This window comes from Homo sapiens, chromosome 7 (genome assembly GCF_000001405.40).
Source record: "Homo sapiens chromosome 7, GRCh38.p14 Primary Assembly".
Classification (NCBI taxonomy): Eukaryota; Metazoa; Chordata; class Mammalia; order Primates; family Hominidae; genus Homo; species Homo sapiens.
In genome coordinates this window covers 156,867,690-156,885,653 of record NC_000007.14, presented here as the reverse complement: position 1 = coordinate 156,885,653, position 17,964 = coordinate 156,867,690, and the positions used below count along the sequence as shown (strand labels likewise).

General features: G+C 41.7%; 1 protein-coding gene and 1 pseudogene across 28 annotated transcripts in view, besides 2 other annotated features; one reads left to right on the top strand and one right to left on the bottom strand.

Moving 5' to 3' along the window:
• LMBR1 (limb development membrane protein 1) overlaps positions 1–17,964 on the top strand; it is a 224,172-nt gene that overhangs the window by 7,530 nt on the left and 198,678 nt on the right. The gene's annotated exons all lie outside the window — the stretch shown is intronic.
• Positions 7,609–7,829: a silencer, noted in NCBI's record as "fragment chr7:156670519-156670739 (GRCh37/hg19 assembly coordinates)". NCBI's record gives its function as "represses an EF-1alpha promoter that drives an FKBP-Casp9 reporter gene in an ReSE screen in K562 erythroleukemia cells {active_cell/tissue: K562}" and the evidence as "EXISTENCE:reporter gene assay evidence [ECO:0000049][PMID:32094911]".
• Positions 12,356–12,598: a silencer, noted in NCBI's record as "fragment chr7:156665750-156665992 (GRCh37/hg19 assembly coordinates)". NCBI's record gives its function as "represses an EF-1alpha promoter that drives an FKBP-Casp9 reporter gene in an ReSE screen in K562 erythroleukemia cells {active_cell/tissue: K562}" and the evidence as "EXISTENCE:reporter gene assay evidence [ECO:0000049][PMID:32094911]".
• On the bottom strand, positions 13,436–13,576 carry RNU4-31P (RNA, U4 small nuclear 31, pseudogene; annotated as a pseudogene).

Here is a 17,964-nt window from a genome sequence, read left to right as displayed (position 1 = left end):
CCTCCTGCCTTGGCCTCCCAAAGTGCTGGGATTACAGGTGTGAGTCAATGCGTCTGGCCATTTTTGTATGGACGGGTTATTTCCGTGTTACCCAGACTGGTCTTGAACTCTCCTGGCCTCAAGTAATCCTCCTGCCTCAGCTTCCCAAAGTGCTAGAATTAGAGGTGTGAGCCACCATGCCTGGCCTGGCTGCGCAATCTAAATTCTTCCTTATCCTGGGTATGGCTTAAGCTCCCCTCTTGGCTAGAATATTTTTGGAACCAAGTCTGGGGTTGACTGGGACTTTTTTTTTTTTTTCTTTTACACGGAGTCTCGCTCTGTCACCGAGGCTGGAATGCAGTGGAGCGATCCTGGCTCACTGCAACCTCCGCCTTCCAGATTCCAGTGATTATCCTGCCTCAGCCTCCCAAGTAGCTGGGATTACAGGCGCCTGCCACCATGCCTGGCTAATTTTTGTATTTTTAGTAGAGATGGGGTTTTGCCATGTTGGCCAAGCTGGTCTTGAACTCCTGACCTCAGGTGATCCGCCCCTGCCTCGGCCTCGCAAAGTGCTGGGATTACAGGCATGAGCCACCGTGCCCAGCCAGACTGGGACTTACACAACAGAGATTTTAGAACCTTCCCATTTAGTTGGCTCCTTTTAGGCCAAATGGGAGGTGGGGAGATAATGGGGATAGAAGTATCCTTCATCTACTGCCTCTCTAGATGAGTTTACCTGCTGTTTTCTACTGGTGTCTTGCCCTCAACTCTATGGCTTACCCTTTATGCAGGAGATAAAAAACTTTAGTCCTTCCCACTTGGGAATAGTGGTTGGGCAGAAGGTGGGAACCAATCACCAATCTTGTATGTAAGTTCAGAATGCAGTTATCTTGGAGTCTGTAGTCTTCTGACCTTTGTCATTGCCCTCCAGTGAAAGACCTCCAAGAGCACACCTGTAGTTGGACAAATTGGGCTTATTGCATATTTCAGTGAGTTCCATGGGGAACTGTGGGGTGTTTCAGTAACTTTTCAAATGGGATTTGGGCTTCTACTAGGTAGTTTGGGAAGGGTTTAAGGAAGTGAGGCTTTGATCTGTATGGGGTGCTGTTAGGAAGCTGGAAAAATTCTGTAACTGGATAGCTTAAGAAATCTTTTCTAGAAGGAAAGAAGACTGGAATAAAGCTAAAGCTGTAACTGGTAAAGAAGCAACAGTCATTCCTGTTAGCCAGGATAGAGAGTTGGTCATTTCTGTGATTTGGACAATGTTCATGTTTTTTTTTTTGCTTGTGTTCAGGAGTGATTACAGAGTGGTCTTGTTTAGTCTTTATCCATCATGGTCTTGTCTGATATTGATGTTCTCTGAAATTGTTGATGTTCAGCAGAAGAGTCAGTCATCAAGGCCTAGGTGTGTGCCTTGCTCTGAGTTGTTAGCCAGTTTACAGCAACACCAAGGCCCAGCTGTGATATTACCAGGCCAGCTCCCAGATGTCAGGGGCTGCATTTCTTTTTCTCACGTGGTTGTAAAGTCTTCTAGTGGAATGATGTATTAGAAACAAATCCAATAGCCAACATAAGTTGAAGTGATTTTCTAACATAGAAGAGCAAAAAGGAATGGGATAGAGGTATAGAGGTTTCATTTGTATTTGACTTTTCTAAACTGGGTTAAATCAGCTTCCCCTCTGCGGTAGGCAGCATAATGGCCCCTGAAGTTGGTAATCCATGTGGTAATCCCTGGAGCCTGTGGTGTGTTACTTTACATGGGTAAAGGGATTTTGCAGATGTGAGTATGTTAAAGGAGAATTACCCTGAATTATCCAGGTGGGCTCTATGTGGTCACAGGGTCCTTATAGGAGAGGCAGGAGGGTCAGAGTCAGAGGAGATGTGATGACAGAGGCAGAGTTGGAGTGATGCCCTTTGAGGAAGGAGGAGGGACCATGAGCCAAGGAGTGTGGGCGGCCTCCAGAAGCTAGAAACGTCAAGGAAATGAATTCTTTCCTAGAGTCTCCAGAAGGAAGCAACCTTGCTCACGCCTTGATTTTAGCCCAGTGAAACTCAATAAATTTGTGTTGTTTTAAGTCACAAAGTTTGTGTAATTTGGTTACAGCAGCCATAGGAGATTCCTACTCCTTCATCAGGAGGCTTTGACTTTCACTGCTGTCCCTGTATATCTTACCACTCCATAGTTGTGTACTTGAGGTTAAAGGAAACTGGGACATTCTAATTACATTTGAGATAATTTTTCATGTCTTCCTATTCTGTCCTCCTTTTTTTTTTCTGAGATGGAGTCTTGCTCTGTTGCCCAGGCTGGAGTGCAGTGACATGATCTTGGCTCACTGCAGCCTCCGCCTCCCGAGTTCAAGCAATTCTCCTGCCTCAGCCTCCCAAGTAGCTGGGATTACAGGTGTGCACCACCACACCTGGCTAATTTTTGTATTTTCAGTAGAGACAGGTTTCACCTGTTGGCCAGGGTGGTCTTGAACTCCAGACCTCAGGTGATCTGCCTGCCTTGGCTTCCCAAAGTGCTGGGATTACAGGTGTGAGCCACCATGCATGGCCCTGTCCTTCTTTTTTAAACTTGATTGTATTGCAGTAAGAATACCTAATGTGAGATCTACCCTCTTAACAAAAAATTTTTTTTTTCAGTCAGAGTCTCGTACTGTCTGTTGCCCAGGCTAGAGTGCAATAGCGTGATCTCGGCTCACTGCAACCTCCACCTCCCGGGTTCAAGTGATTCTCCTGCTTCAGCCTCCTGAGTAGCTGGGATTACAGGCGTCTGCCACCACGTCCAGCTAATTTATTGTATTTTTAGTAGAGACGGGGTTTCACTGTGTTGGCCAGCTAGTCTCGAACTCCTGACCTCGTGATCTGCCTGCCTCGGCCTCTCAGAGTACTGGGATTACAGGCGTGAGCCACTGCGCCCAGCCCCTCTTAAAGTTTTAAGTGTGCAATTATATTGTTGATTATAGGTACAATGTTGCACAGCAGATTTCTAGAGCTTACTCATTTTGCTTGACTGAAGCTTTATGCCCATTGATTAGTAACTTTCAATTTCCTTCCCTGTCCCTGCCCCTGAGAACCACCATTTACACTCTTTGAGTCTGTGAATTTGACCATTTTAGATACCTTATATAAGTGGGATCATGCAGTATTTGTCTTCTTGTGACTCTCTTTTTTTCACTTAGGTTAGTGTCCTCAAGATTCATCTATGTTGTTGCATTTTGCAGAATTTCCTTTTTTTCCCCCTTGAGATGGAGTCTCACTCTTTTTCCCAGGCTGGAATGTGGTGACTGCAGCCTTGACCTCCTGGGCTCAAATGATCCTCTCACCTCAGCCTCCTAAGTAGCTGGGACTACTGGCACCCACTGCCATGCCTGGCTAATTTTTTGTTTATTTTTTGTAGAGACGATGTCTCACTATGATGCCCAGGCTGGTCTCAAACTCCTGAGCTCAAGTGATCCTCCTGCCTTGGCCTCCCAAAGTGCTGGGATTATAGGCATGAGCCATCATACCTGGCTGAGTGTCCTTTTTTCAAATATTTTTAAAGGTGAATAGTATTCCATTGTATACCACATTTTCATTATCCATCCGTTAATAGACATTTAGGTTGTTTCCACATCTTTGCTATTGTGAATATTGCCTCAGTGGATATAGAAGTGCTAATATCTCTTTGAGATTGTGATGGTGATTCTTAGGATAAATACTCAGAAGGGAGATTGCTGAATCATACGGTAGTTTTGTTTTTAATTTTTTCAGGAACCCACATATTTTCCATAGCAGCTGCATCATTTTGCATTCTCACCAAGTGTGCAAGGGTTCCGATTTCTCTTCAGCCTTGTCAACACTTGTCGTCTTCTTTTTTTTTTTTTAATCATAGCCATCCTAACAGGTGTGAGGTGATATCTCATTGTGGTTTTGATTTACATTGCCCTGATAATTGGTGACATTGAGCATTTTTTCATATACATGTTGGCTGTTTGTATGTCTTTAGAGAAATGCTTTATTCAAGTCCTTAGCCTGTTTTTTAATCAAGTTACTAGTTGTTTTTACTTTCGTGCTGTGGGAGTTTCTTAGATATTTTGGATATTAACCCCTTTTCAGATATACAGTTTGTAGATATTTTCTCTCATTTCCATCACTATGTTGATTGTCTACTTTGCTGTACAGAAACTTTTTAGTTTTATGTATTCCCACTTACATATTTTTGTTGTTATTGCCTGTGCTATTGATGTTATATCCGTGAAATCATTGCCAAGGCCGGTGTTGTGAAGGCTTCCTTCGGTGTTTTTCTCTGAGAGTTTTATAGTTTCATGTTTTACATTTAAGTCTTTAATCCTTTGTAAGTTGATTTTTGTGTATGGTGTAAGAGAAGACTGCATTTTTTGAATGTGAATCTCCAGTTTTCCCAACACCATTTGTTGAGGACATTTTTCTTTCCCCGTTGTGTATTATTTGCAGCCTTGTGTAAGATCAGGTGACTGTACATAAATGGATTTATTTCTGGGCTCTCTGTTCTGTTCCGTTGTTCTATATATCTGTCTTTATGTCAGTACTATACTATTTTGATAACTAGCTTTGTGTAATAATATATTTTGAAATCAGGAGGTGTGATGCCACCAACTTTGTTCTTTCTCCAGATTAATTTGGCTATTTATAGTCTTTTGTCATTCCATAAGACTTTTAGAATTATTTTTTCTATTTCTGTTAAAAAAAAATGCCACTGGGGGTTGGGCGTGGTGGCTCATGCTTGAAGTCCCAGCACTTTGGGAAGCCGAGGCGGGTGGATTGCCTGAGGTCAGGAGTTTGAGACCAGCCTGGCTAACATGGTGAAACCTTGTCTCTACTAAAAATATAAAAATTAGCCGGGCGTGGTGGCGCATGCCTGTAATCCCAGCTACTCGGGAGGCTGAGGCAGGAGAATCACTTGAACCCAGGAGGCAGAGGTTGCAGTGAGCTGAGATTGTGTCACTGCACTCCATCCTTGGTGGCAGAGTGAGACTCCGTCTCAGAAAAAAAAATACCATTGGGATTTTGATAGGGATTGCATTGAGTCTGTAAATTGCTTGGGTATTATGGATATTTTGACAATATTAAATCTTCCAATCCATGAACATAGGGTGTCTTTCCCTTTGTCTGTGCCTTCTTTAATTTCTTTTTTTTTTATTTTTAAATTTTTTGTTTCCATAGGTTTTAGGGAAACAGGTAGTTTTTGGTTACATGAGTTAAGTTCTTTAGTGGTGACTTGTGAGCTTTTGGTGCACCCATCACACAAGCAGTATACACTGAATCCAGTTTGTAGTCTTTTATCCCTCACCCCTTTCCCACCCTTTCCCCCTGAGTCCCCAAAGTCCATGTGTCATTCTTATGCCTTTGCATCATCGTAGCTTAGTTCCCACTTATGAGTGAGAACATGCGATGTTTGGTTTTCCATTCCTAGGTTAATTCACTTAGAATAATAGTCTCCAATCCCATCCAGGTTGTTGTGAATGCCATTATTTCATTCCTTTTTATGGCTGGGTAGTATTCCATAGTTACATATACCACAGTTTCTATATCCACTTGTTAATTGATGGGCATTTGTGTTGGTTCCACATTTTTGCAACTGCACATTGTGCTGCTATAAACGTGTATGCAAGTATCTTTTTTGTATAATGACTTCTTTTCCTCTGGGTAGATACCCAGTAGTGGTATTGCTGGATCAAATGATAGTTCTACTTTTAGTTCTTTAACAAATCTCCACACTGTTTTCCATAGTGGTTGTACCAGTTTACATTCCCACCAGCAGTGTAGAAGTGTTCCCTTTTCACTGCATCCATACCAACATCTATTATTTTTTGTTTGTGATTACAGCCATTCTTGCAGGAGTAAGGTGGTATCACATTGTGGTTTTGATTTGCTTTTCCCTGATCATTAGTAATGTTGAGCATTTTTTCATAGGTTTGTTGGCTATTTGTATATCTTCTTTTGGGAATTGTTTGTTTATGTCCTTAGCCCACTTTTTTTTTTTTTTTTTTGAGACAGAGTCTCGCTCTGTCACCCAGGCTGGAGTGCAGTGGTGCGATCTTGGCTCACTGCAAGCTCCACCTCTCGGGTTCACGCCATTCTCCTGCCTCAGCCCTCCGAGTAGCTGGGACTACAGGCACCTGCCACCACGCCTGGCTAATTTTTTGTGTTTTTAGTAGAGACGGGGTTTCACCATGTTAGCCAGGATGGTCTCGATCTCCTGACCTCGGGATCTGCTCGCCTCGGCCTCCCAAAGTGCTGGGATTACAGGCGTGAGCCACCGTGCCCGGCCAGTTAGCCCACTTTTTGATGGGATTGTTTGTTTTTCTCTTGCTAATTTGAGTCCATTGTGGATTCTGGATATCAGTCCTTTGTCAGATGTATAGATTGTGAAGATTTTCTCCCACTCTGTGGGTTTTCTGTTTACTCTGCTGACTGTTCCTTTTGCCATGCAAAAGCTCTTTAGTTTAATTAAGTCTCAGCTGTTTATCTTTGTTTTTCTTGCATTTGCTTTTGGATTCTTAGTTACAAAATCTTTTCCTAAGCCAGTGTCTAGAAGGGTTTTTCTGATATTATTTTCTAGAATTTTTATAGTTTCAGGTCTTAGATTTAAGTCCTTGATCCATCTTGAGTTGATTTTTATATAAGGTGAGAGATGAGGATCCAGTTTCATTCTCCTACATGTGGCTTGCCAAGTATCTCAGCACTATTTGTTGGTGTCGTTTCCCCACTTTATGTTTTTGTTTGCTTTGTTAAAGATCAGTTGGCTGTATTTGGGTTTATTTCTGGGTTCTCCATTCTGTTCCGTTGGTCTGTGTGCCTATTTTTATACTAGTACCATGCTGTTTCGGAGACTACGGCCTTATAGTATAGTTTGAAATCAGGTAATGTGATACCTCCAGATTTGTTCTTTTTGCTTAGACTTGTTTTGGCTACGCGGGCTCTTTTTTGGTTCCATATGAATTTTAGGATTGTTTTTACTAGTTCTGTGAAGAATGATGGTGGTATTTTGATGGGAATTGTGTTGAATTTGTAGATTGCTTTTGGCAGTATGGTCATTTTCACAATATTGATTCTACCCATCCATGAGCTTGGGATGTGTTTCCATTTGTTTGTGTCATCTATGATTTCAGCAGTATTTTGTAGTTTTCCTTGTAGAGGCCTTTTACCTTCTTGGTTAGGTATATTCCTAAGTGTTTTATTTATTTGTTTTTTTGCAGCTGTTGTAAAAGGGGTTGAGTTCTTGATTTGATTCTCAGCTTGGTCACTGTTGATGTATAGGAGAGCTACTGATTTGTGTACATTAATTTTGTATCCTGAAACTGCTGAATTCATTTATCAGTTTTAGGAGCTACTTGGAGGAGTCTTTAGGGTTTTCTAGGTATACATTCATATCATCAGCAAACAGCAACAGTTTGATTTCCTCTTTACCAATTTGGATGCCCTTTATTTCTTTCTCTTGTCTGATTGCTGTGGCTAGGACTTCCAGTACTATGTTGAATAGAAGTGGTGAGAGTGGGCATCCTTTTCTTGTTCTAGTTCTCAGAGGGAATGCTTTCAACTTCTCTCCATTCAGTATTATATTGGCTGTGGGTTTGTCATAGATGGCTTTTATTACATTGAGATATGTCCCTTGTATGTAGATTTTGCTAAGGGTTTTAATTATAAAGTGATGCTGGATTTTGTTAAATGCTTTTTCTGTGTCTATTTAGATGATCATGTGATTTTTGTTTTTAATTCTGTTCGTGTGGTGTATCACATTTATTGACTTGCGTATTTTTTTTTTTTTTTTTGAGTGGAGTCTCGCTCTGTCGCCCAGGCTGGAGTGCAGTGGCGCGATCTCTGCTCACTGCAAGCTCCGCCTCCCGGGTTCACGCCATTCTCCTGCTTCAGCCTCCCGAGTAGCTGGGACTACAGGCGCCTGCCACCGCGCCCAGCTAATTTTTTGTATTTTTAGTAGAGACGGGGTTTCATCGTGTTAGCCAGAATGGTCTCGATCTCCTGACCTCGTGATCCGCCCACCTCGGCCTCCCAACGTGCTGGGATTACAGGCATGAGCCACCGCGCCCGGCCGACTTGCGTATGTTAAACCATCCCTGCATCTGTGGTATGAAACCCACTTGATCATGGTGTTACCTTTTTGATATGTTTTTGGATTCGGTTAGCTAGTATTTTGTTAAGGATTTTAGCATCTGTCTTCATCAAGGATATTGGTCTGTAGTTTGTTTTATTGGTCATGTCCTTTCCTGGTTTGGTATTAGGATGATACTGGCTTCATAGAATGATTTAGGGAGGATTTTCTCTTTATCTTGTGGAATAGTGTCGATAGGATTGGTACCAATTCTTCTTTGTCTGGTAGAATTCAGCTATAAATCCATCTGGTCCTGGACTTTTTTTTTTTGGTAATTTTTAAAATTACCATTTTAATCTTGCTGCTTGTTACTGGTCTATTTGGGGTACCTAATTCTTCCTGATTTAAGCTAGGAGGGTTGTATCTTTCCAGGAATTTATTCATCTCTTCTAGGTTTTCTAGTTTATGTGTCTAAAGGTGTTTATAATAGCCTCGAATCCTCTCTTATTTTCTTGGTTAATCTTGCTAATGGTGTATCAGTTTTATTTATCTTTTCGAAGAACTAGCTTTTTGTTTCATTTTTCTTTTGTATTTTTTTTGTTTGTTTGTTTCAGTTTCATTTAGTTCTGCTCTGATCTTGGCTATTTCTTTCTTCTGCTGGGTTTGGGTTTGGTTTGTTCTTGTTTCTCTAGTTCCTTGAGGTGTGACCTTAGATTGTCTATTTGTGCTCTTTCAGACTTTTTGATGTAAGCATTTAGGGCTATGAACTTTCCTCTTAGCACCGCCTTTGCTGTCTCCCAGAGGTTTTGATAGGTTGTGTCACTATTATCATTTGGTTTGAAGAATTTTAAAATTTCCATCTTGATTTCATTGTTGACCCAATGATCACTCAGGAGCAGGTTATTTAATTTCCATGTATTTGTCTGGTTTTGAAGGTTCTTTTTGGAGTTGATTTCTAGTTTTATTCCACTGTGGTCAGGGAGAGTACTTGGTATAATTTCAATTTTCTTAAATTTATTAAGACTTGTTTTGTGTCCTATCATACGGTCTGTCTTGGAGAAAGTTCCATGCTCTGATGAATAGAATATATATTCAGCGGTTGTTGGGTAGAATGTTCTGTAAATATCTGTTAAGTCCATTTGTTCCAGGGTATAGTTTAAATCCATTGTTTCTTTGTTGACTTTCTGTCTTGATGACCTGTTTAGTGCTGTCAGTGGAGTACTGAAATACCCCACTATTATTGTGTTGCTGTCTGTCTTATTTCTTAGGTCTAGTGGTAATTGTTTTGTAAATTTGGGAGCTCCAGTGTTAGGTGCATATATATTTATGATTGTGATACTTTCCTTTTGGACAAGGCCTTTTATCATTATATAATGTCCCTCTTTGTCTTTTTTAACTGCTCTTGCTTTGAAGTCTGTTTTGTCTGATATAAGAATAGCTACTACTGCTCACTTCTGGTGTCCATTTGCATGGAATGTCTTTTTCCACCTTTACCTTAAGTTTATGTGAGTCCTTATGTGTTAGGTGAGTCTCTTGAAGGCAGCAGATAGTTGGTGAATTCTTATCCATTCCGCAATTCTGTATCTTTTAAGTGGAGCATTTAGGCCATTTACATCCAATGTTAATATTGAGATTTGAGGTACTATTCCATTCATCGTGCTATTGGTTGCCTATATACCTTGTTTTTTTTTTTTTTTAATTGTATTTTTGTTTTATATGCCCTGTGAGAATTATGCTTTAAAGAGGTTCTGTTTTAATGTGTTTCCAGGATTTGTTTCAAGATTTACAGCTACTTTAGCAGTTCTGGTAGTTCTGGCTTGGTAGTGGCAAATTCTCTCAGCATTTGTTTGTCTGAAAAAGACTGTATCTTTCCTTCATTTATGAAGCATAGTTTCACTGGATACAAAATTTTTGGCTGATAATTGTTTTGTTTAAGGAGGCTGAAGATAGGGCCCCAGTCCCTTCTAGCTTGTAGGGTTTCTGCTGAGAAATCTGCAGTTACTCTGGTTTTTCTTTGTAGGTTACCTGGTGCTTTTGCCTCACAGCTCTTAACATTCTTTCCTTCATCTTGACTTTTGATAAGTTGATGACAATGTGCCTAGGAGATGATCTTTTTACGATTAATTTCCCAAGTGTTCTTTGAGCTTCTTGTATTTGGACGTCTAGGTCTCTAGCAAGGCCCGGGAAATTTTCCTCAGTTATTCCTCCAAATATGTTTTCCAAACTTTTAGATTTCTCTCCTTCCTCAGGAATGGCAGTTATTCTTAGATTTGGTCACTTAACGTAATCCCAAACTTCTTGGAGGCGTTGTTCATTTTTTCTTACTTTTTTCTTTCTCTTATTCATTTTTCTTTGTCTTTGTTGGCTTGGGTTAATTCAAAAAGCTTCTCTTCAAGGTCTGAAGTTCTTTCTTCTGCTTATTTGAGTCTATTGCTGAGACTTTCCAGAAAATTTTGCATTTCTCTAAGTGTGTCCTTTATTTCCTGAAGCTTTGATTGTTTTTTATTTATGCTGTCTGTTTCACTGAAGATTTCTTTCCTCATTTCTTGTATCATTTTTTTGATTGTCTTAAATTGGACTTCACCTTTCTCTGGTACCTCCTTGATTAGCTTAATAACTGATCTTCTGAATTATTTTTCAGGTAAATCAGGGATTTCTTCTTGGTTTGGATCCATTGCTGGTTAGCCAGTGTGATATTTTTTGGAGGTGTTAAAAAACTTTTTCTTTGTCGTATTAATGGAATTGTTTTTCTGGTTCCTTTTCATTTGGGTAGGCTATGTCAGAGGGAAGGTCTAGGGCTCAAGGCTGCTGTACAGATTCTTTTGTCTCCCGGGGTGTTCCACAGATGTAGTACTCTCCCCCTTTTTCTAAGGATGTGGCTTCCTGAGGGCCGAGCTGCAGTGATTGTTATCTCTCTTTTGGATGTAGCCACTCAGGAGGTCTACCAGGCAGGGCTGGTACTGGGGTTGTCTGCACAGAGTCCTGTGATGTGAACCGTCTGCAGGTCTCTCAGCTGTCGATAACTGCACAGCATTTGTGAGAGGTGACAGTGTGCTGGCGGTCCTCGGGGCCCTCGCTTGCTCTTGGCGCCTCCCCTGCCTGGGCTCCCACTTTGGTGGCATTTGAGGAGCCCTTCGGCCCCCCGCTGCACTGTGGGAGCCCCTTTCTGGGTGGGCCGAGGCTGGAGCCCACTCCCTCGCTTGCGGGGAGGTGTGGAGGGAGAGGCACGAGCGGGAGCCGGGGCTGCGTGTGGCGCTTGCGGGCCAGCTGGAGTTCCGGGTGGGCGTGGGCTTGGTGGGCCCCGCACTCGGAGCAGCCAGCCGGCCCTGCTGGCCCCGGGCAATGAGGGACTTAGCACCCAGGCCAGTGGCTGCGGAGGGTGTGCTGGGTCTCCAGCGGTGCCGGCCCACTGGCGCTGTGCTCAATTTCTTGTCCGGCCTTAGCTGCCTTCCCGCGGGTGGGGCTCGGGACCTGCAGCCCACCATGCCTGAGCCTCCCACCCACTCCATGGGCTCCTGTGCGGCCTGAGCCTCCCCGACGAGCACCACCCCCTGCTCCACGGCGCCCAGTCCCATCGACCACCCAAGGGCTGAGGAGTACGAGCGCATGGCGCGGGACTGGCAGGCAGCTCCACCTGCAGCCCTAGTGCGGAATCCACTGGGTGAAGCCAGCTGGGCTCCTGAGTCTGGTGGGGATGTGGAGAGTCTTTATGTCTAGCTCAGGGATTGTAAATACACCAGTCAGCACCCTGTGTTTAGCTCAAGGTTTGTGAGTGCACCAATCGACACTCTGTATCTAGCTGCTCTGGTGGGGCCTTGGAGAACCTTTATGTCTAGCTCAGGGATTGTAAATACACCAATCAGCACCCTGTGTTTAGCTCAAGGTTTGTGAATGCACCAATCGACACTCTGTATCTAGCTGCTCTGGTGGGGCCTTGGAGAACCTGTGTGTGGAAACTCTGTATCTAACTAATCTGATGGGGACGTGGAGAACCTTTGTATCTAGCTCAGGGATTGTAAACGCACCAATCAGCACCCTGACAAAACAGGCCACTGGGCTCTACGAATCAGCAGGATGTGGGTGGGGCCAGATAAGAGAATAAAAGCAGGCTGCCCGAGCCAGCATTGGCAACCCGCTCGGGTCACCTTCCACACTGTGGAAGCTTTGTTCTTTCGCTCTTTGCAATAAATCTTGCTACTGCTAACTCTTTGGGTCCACGCTGCTTTTATGAGCTGTAACACTCACCGCGAAGATCTGCAGCTTCACTCCTGAGCCCAGCGAGACCAGGAGCCCACCGGGAGGAATGAACAACTCCAGACGCGCTGCCTTAAGAGCTGTAACACTCACCGCGAAGGTCTGCAGCTTCACTCCTGAGCCAGCGAGACCACGAACCCACCAGAAGGAAGAAACTCTGAACACATCTGAACATCAGAAGGGACAGACTCCAGACGCGCCACCTTAAGAGCTGTAACACTCACCGCAAGAGTCCGCGGCTTCATTCTTGAAGTCAGTGAGACCAAGAACCCACTAATTCCGGACACATTTTGGCGACCACGAAGGGACAGACTCCAGACGTGCCAACGCGCCACCTTAAGAGCTGTAACACTCACCGTGAGGGTCCGCGGCTTCATTCTTGAAGTCAGTGAGACCAAGAACCCACCAATTCCGGACACATTTGGACTGCCTCCTGGGTCCTGCAGGAGCAATCTGCTTCTTTCAGAGCGTCTTTCGGTTCTCTAGGCTTTCCTGCAGTAGTTCCGGAGCAAAGGTTCACGATGTGAGTCTCCACACACTACTCTGTCTGAGTGGGAGCTGCAATCTAGTCCTGCCTCCCATCTGCCGTTTTTCCTCCAAATGTAGCTTTCTTTAATTTCTTTCATCAATGTTTTATGGTTTTCAGGATACAGGTCTTTCACCTCCTTAATTAAGTTTATTCTTAGGTTGTTTTTTTTTTTTGAGACGGAGTTTTGCTCTTGTTACCCAGGCTGGAGTCCAATGATGCGATCTCGGCTCACTGCAGCCTCCGCCTCCCTGGTTCAAGCGATTCTTCTGCCTCAGCCTCCCAAGTAGCTGGGATTATAGGCATGCGCCACCACGCCCAGCTAAATTTTTATTTTTAGTAGAGATGGGGTTTCTCCACGTTGGTCTGGGTGGTCTCGAACTCCTGACCTCAGGTGATCCGTCTGCTTGGGCCTCCCAAAGTGCTGGGATTACAGGCATGAGCTACCATGCCTGGCCTATTCTTAGGTATTTTCTTCTTTTTTTGTGCTATTGTAAATGAGATTGTTTTACTAATTTCCTTTTTAGATAGTTTATTAGTGGATGTTGATTTTTCTATCCTGCAACTTTATTGAATTTATTAGTTTTTTTTTCTTTATAATTCAGTCTCCATGGAGACTGTCAAAAATTGCCAGTGCTCACTGCATTACAAGTCATCATGGCAGGGTATCAGGAAAAGTTTTCCATCAGCAGTAATCACACCTCAGATAAACCTGACTGGCTACGATACTGCCAGTGTTCAAAGCTAAATTTATTGGTTCTAACAGTTTTAAAAAACTGTTAAATGGTTTTTTATATCTAAGATTATGTCTTATGCAAATGGACAGTTTTACCTCTTCCTTTCCGATTTGAATGCGTTTTATTTCTTTTTCTTGCCTAATTGCTTTAGGTAGGACTTCTAGTACTATGTTGAATAAAAGTAAGTAAGAGTGGACATCTCTGCCTTGTGCCTGATCTCAGTGGGAAACCTTTCAGTTTTTCACAATTAAGTAGGATAGCTGTGGGCTTTTCATATATGGCCTTTATTACATTGAGATAATTTCCATTTGTTTGTAGTTTGTTGACAGTTTTTACCATGAAAGGGTGCTGAATTTTTCAGGTGATTTTTCTGCCTATTGAGATGATCATAGGATTGTTATCTTTTTATTTTGTTATTGTGGTGTACCACAGTAACTGATTTTCATATATTGAACCATTCTTGCATCCTAGGCATAAATCCCACTTAGTCATGGTTTATGATCCTTTTAATGTGCTGTTGGATTCAGTGAGCAACTATTTCATTGAGGATTTTCGTATCTGTATTCTTCAGGGATATTGTCCTGTTGTTTTCTCTTCTTATGGCTTCTTTGTCTGGCTTTGGTATCAGGGAAATGCTGGCTTTGTAAAATGTGTTTGAAAGTGTTCTCTCCACCTCAGTTTTTTGAAGGAGTTTGAGACAGATTGGTGCTAATTGCTCCTTAAGTGTTTGGTAGCATTCATCAATGAAACCATCTGGTCCTGGGCTTTTCTCTTTTGGGAGGTTTTTGATTACTGATTCAGTCTGCATACTTCTTATAGGTTTGTTCAGACTTTCTACTTCTTCATGATTTAGTCTTGTTGGTAGGGTGTTATGTTTCTAGGAATTTATTCATTTCTTCTAGATTATCCAGTTTGTTGGCATATGGCTGTTTTTAGTAGTCTCATGATCCTTTTTATTTTGGAGGCATCAGTTGTAATGTCTCTTTCCTTTCTTATTTGAGTCTTCTCTTTTTTTCTTAGTCTAGCTAAGGGTTTTTCAGTTTTAAATCTTTTCAAAAAACCAACTCTTAGTTTTGTTGTTTTTTCCCTATTTTTCTATTTTTTATTTTATTTATTTCTGCTCTAATCTTTGTTACTTCTTCCTTCTGGCAACTTTGGGCTTAGTTTTCTAGTTCCTTGAGCTGTAAAGTGAGGTTATTTGAGACTTTTCTTGTTTTTAATGTCAGCATTTATTGTTATGAGCTTCATTCTTACTGCTGCTTTTGTTTCATCCCATAAGTTTTGGTATATTGTGTTTTTGTTATTTGTCTTGAGATTTTTTTTTTTTTTTGTGACAGAGTCTCGCTCTGTCGCCCAGGTTGTGCCGCGATCTCGGCTCACTGCAAGCTCTGCCTCCTGGGTTCACACCAGTCTCCTGCCTCAGCCTCCCGAGTAGCTGGGATTACAGGCGCCTGCTGCCACGCCTGGCTAATTTTTTGTATTTTTAGTAGAGATGGGGTTTCACCGTGTTAGCCAGGGTGGTCTCGATCTCCTGACCTCATGATCCACCTGCCCTGGCCTCCCAAAGTGCTGGGATTACAGGCGTGAGCCACTGCGCCCGGCATCTTGAGATATTTTCTAATTTCCTTTTTTTCTTTTTCAATCCAGTGGGTGTTCAGAATGTGGTGTTTACTTTTCATGTATTTGTAAATTTTTCAGTTTTCATTCTTTTATAGTCAGAAAATACACTTAGTATGATTTCAGCCTTCTTAAATTTGCTAAGGCTTGTTTTGTTACCTATCTTGTGTTCTCTCCTGGAGAAGTATTCCTGTTTGCTTGAGAAGAATGTGTAGTTTGCTGCCATTGAGGAGAATGTTCTGTATATATCATTAGATTCATTTGGTCTACAGTGTTATTGAAGTCTTCTGTTTTCTTATTGATCTTCTGTCTGGATGTTTTGTTCAGTATTGAAAATGGGGTATTGAAGTCTCCAATCGTTATTCTACCGTTTATTTCTCCCTTTAGTTCTGTCAGTGTTTGCTTTATATATTTATGTACTCTGATGTTGGTTGCATGTATACTTATAATTGTCATATCTCCCTGGTGGATTGATCCTTTTATCATTGTCAAATGTCTTTTATTTAAATTTTGTTTTTTTCTTTTATTTCTGTCCTTTGTAAACAAAAACTTGTCCTTTTTTATAATGAGAAATGATGAATGTCTTGTGTTTCATGTGACGGTTTTTCCCAATGTAAGTATAGCTATCTCTGCTCTTTCTTGATTACTATTTGCATGGAATATCTAATTATCTCTTTACTTTCAGCCTATGTGTGTCCTTAAATCTGAAGAGAGTTTCTTGTAATAGCATATAGTTGGATCTTTTTTGTTTTTAAATCTATTCAGGCTTTTACTAGAGTTTAATCTATTTACATTTAAAGTGATTATTGATAGGGAAGAATTTTACTACTGCCATTTTGTTGTTTTTTGTTAGTCTTATAGTTTTTTTGGTTGTCTTACCCTTTCTTGCTGTCTACCTTTGGGTTTTGCTGATTTTTTGTATTTGTAGGCTTTGATTATTTTCTGTTTTTTCCTTTGGGTAACTTCTGTAGGTATTTTATGTTCTTTCCTTCTTAAATTACAGTTGAAAGTATATCACCTGAGAGGTTAGACATCCAAAGGATGTTCTGGTCTTGCAGCATGATTTCTGGTGTTAGTCTTCCTTTTGTTTCCAAGCAAAAGTTATGCAATAAGACAGAATATAAAGTCTCCGAGAGCCTTAAGCTTTTTTTTTCTTCTTCACGTCTGTAGTAGATATTTGTAGATACTAATTCTTGATGATCTTAGGGTTTTGAATATTATATCCAAATATAATAGTACAGGTTAATTTCCTGAACACCTTGGTAGTAAGATAATTTAAGAAACTTAAGGCATGATGGGAAAAATAGACATGAGAGTCTGATGTTCAGAATTTATCTTTGAAAGCCCTTAGAAATGTTTTAACACTTAATAAAATAATTTTTAGAAAGAACACCACGTAAAGAAAATATGTTCTGATTTTACACTGTTAATATCTATTAATAGCATGATTTTTAACATTTATCTTTATATTGTGCAATGCCAGTTTTTACTTTTTATTGTTTTTCGAGACAGGGTCTTACTTTGTTACCCAGGCTGGAGTGCAGTGGTGCGATCATGGCTCACTGCAGCCTTGACCTACCGGGCTCAGGTGATCTTCCCACCTCGCCTCTCAAGTAGCTGAGACTACAGGCTTGCACTACCATGCCTGGCTAAGTTTTATATTTTTTGTAGAGATGGGGTTTCACCATGTTGCCCAGGCTGGTCTTGAACTCCTGGGCTCAAGCTATCTGCCCACGTTGGCTTCCCAAAGTGTTGGGATTACAGGTGTGAGCCACCTCACCTAGCCACTGCAAGCCTTTTTTTTTTTGAGATGGCATCTTGCTCTGTTGCCCAAGCTGGAGGGCAGTGGCACCATCTAGGCTCACTGCAACCTCCGCCTCCAAGGTTCAAGCAATTCTCCTGACTCAGCATTAGATTATAGGTGCATGCCATCACACCTGACTAATTTTCGTATTTTTAGGAGACACAAGGTTTCACCACGTTGGTCAGGCTGGTCTTGAACTCCTGACCTTGTGATCTGCCCACCTCGGCCTCCCAAAGTGCTGGGATAACAGGCGTGAGCCACCGTGCCCGGCCTGCCACTTCAAGTCTTTAGAAGGTTTCCTTTCCTTAGCCAGGCATGGGGGTGTGTGCCTGTAATACCAGCTACTTGGGAAGCTAAGGCAGGAGAATTACTTGAACCCGGGAGGTGGAGGTTTCAGTGAGCCGAGATTGCACCCCTGCACTCCAGCCTGGGCGACAGAGTGAGACGTCGTCTCAAAAAAAAAAAAAAAAGAAAATCTCCTTTTCAAATTTATAGATCTATAGATCTCATGATTCTTTAGCTGACACTTTATTTCTTGTCTTTTTTCCCTTTTTCATTTGGACTTAAGGTGCACAGAATTGCATTAATCACAGTCCTTGGTTCATTTTTAAAACTTTTATTTTTATTAAAAAAATTTTCTTTCCACCATCCTTAGCCTCTAAAAGTCCTGGGATTACAGGAATGAGCCATGGCACCCAGCCTCAACTATTTTCTTTTTTTTTGAAACAGTTTTATTGATTTAATTCACATACCATATAATTTATCCAATTCGGTAGTTTTTAGCATATCCACAGACTTGGACAGCCATCACCACTGTCTAATCATAGAACATTTTCATTATCTCAGAGACAAACCCTATGTTCAGTAGCAGTCATCCCCTGTTGCACCCACATACTCCTTCCTCTAGCCCTAGGCCACCACTGATCTACTTTGCCTAGATTTGCCTATATAGATTTGTCTATTCTGGATATTTCTT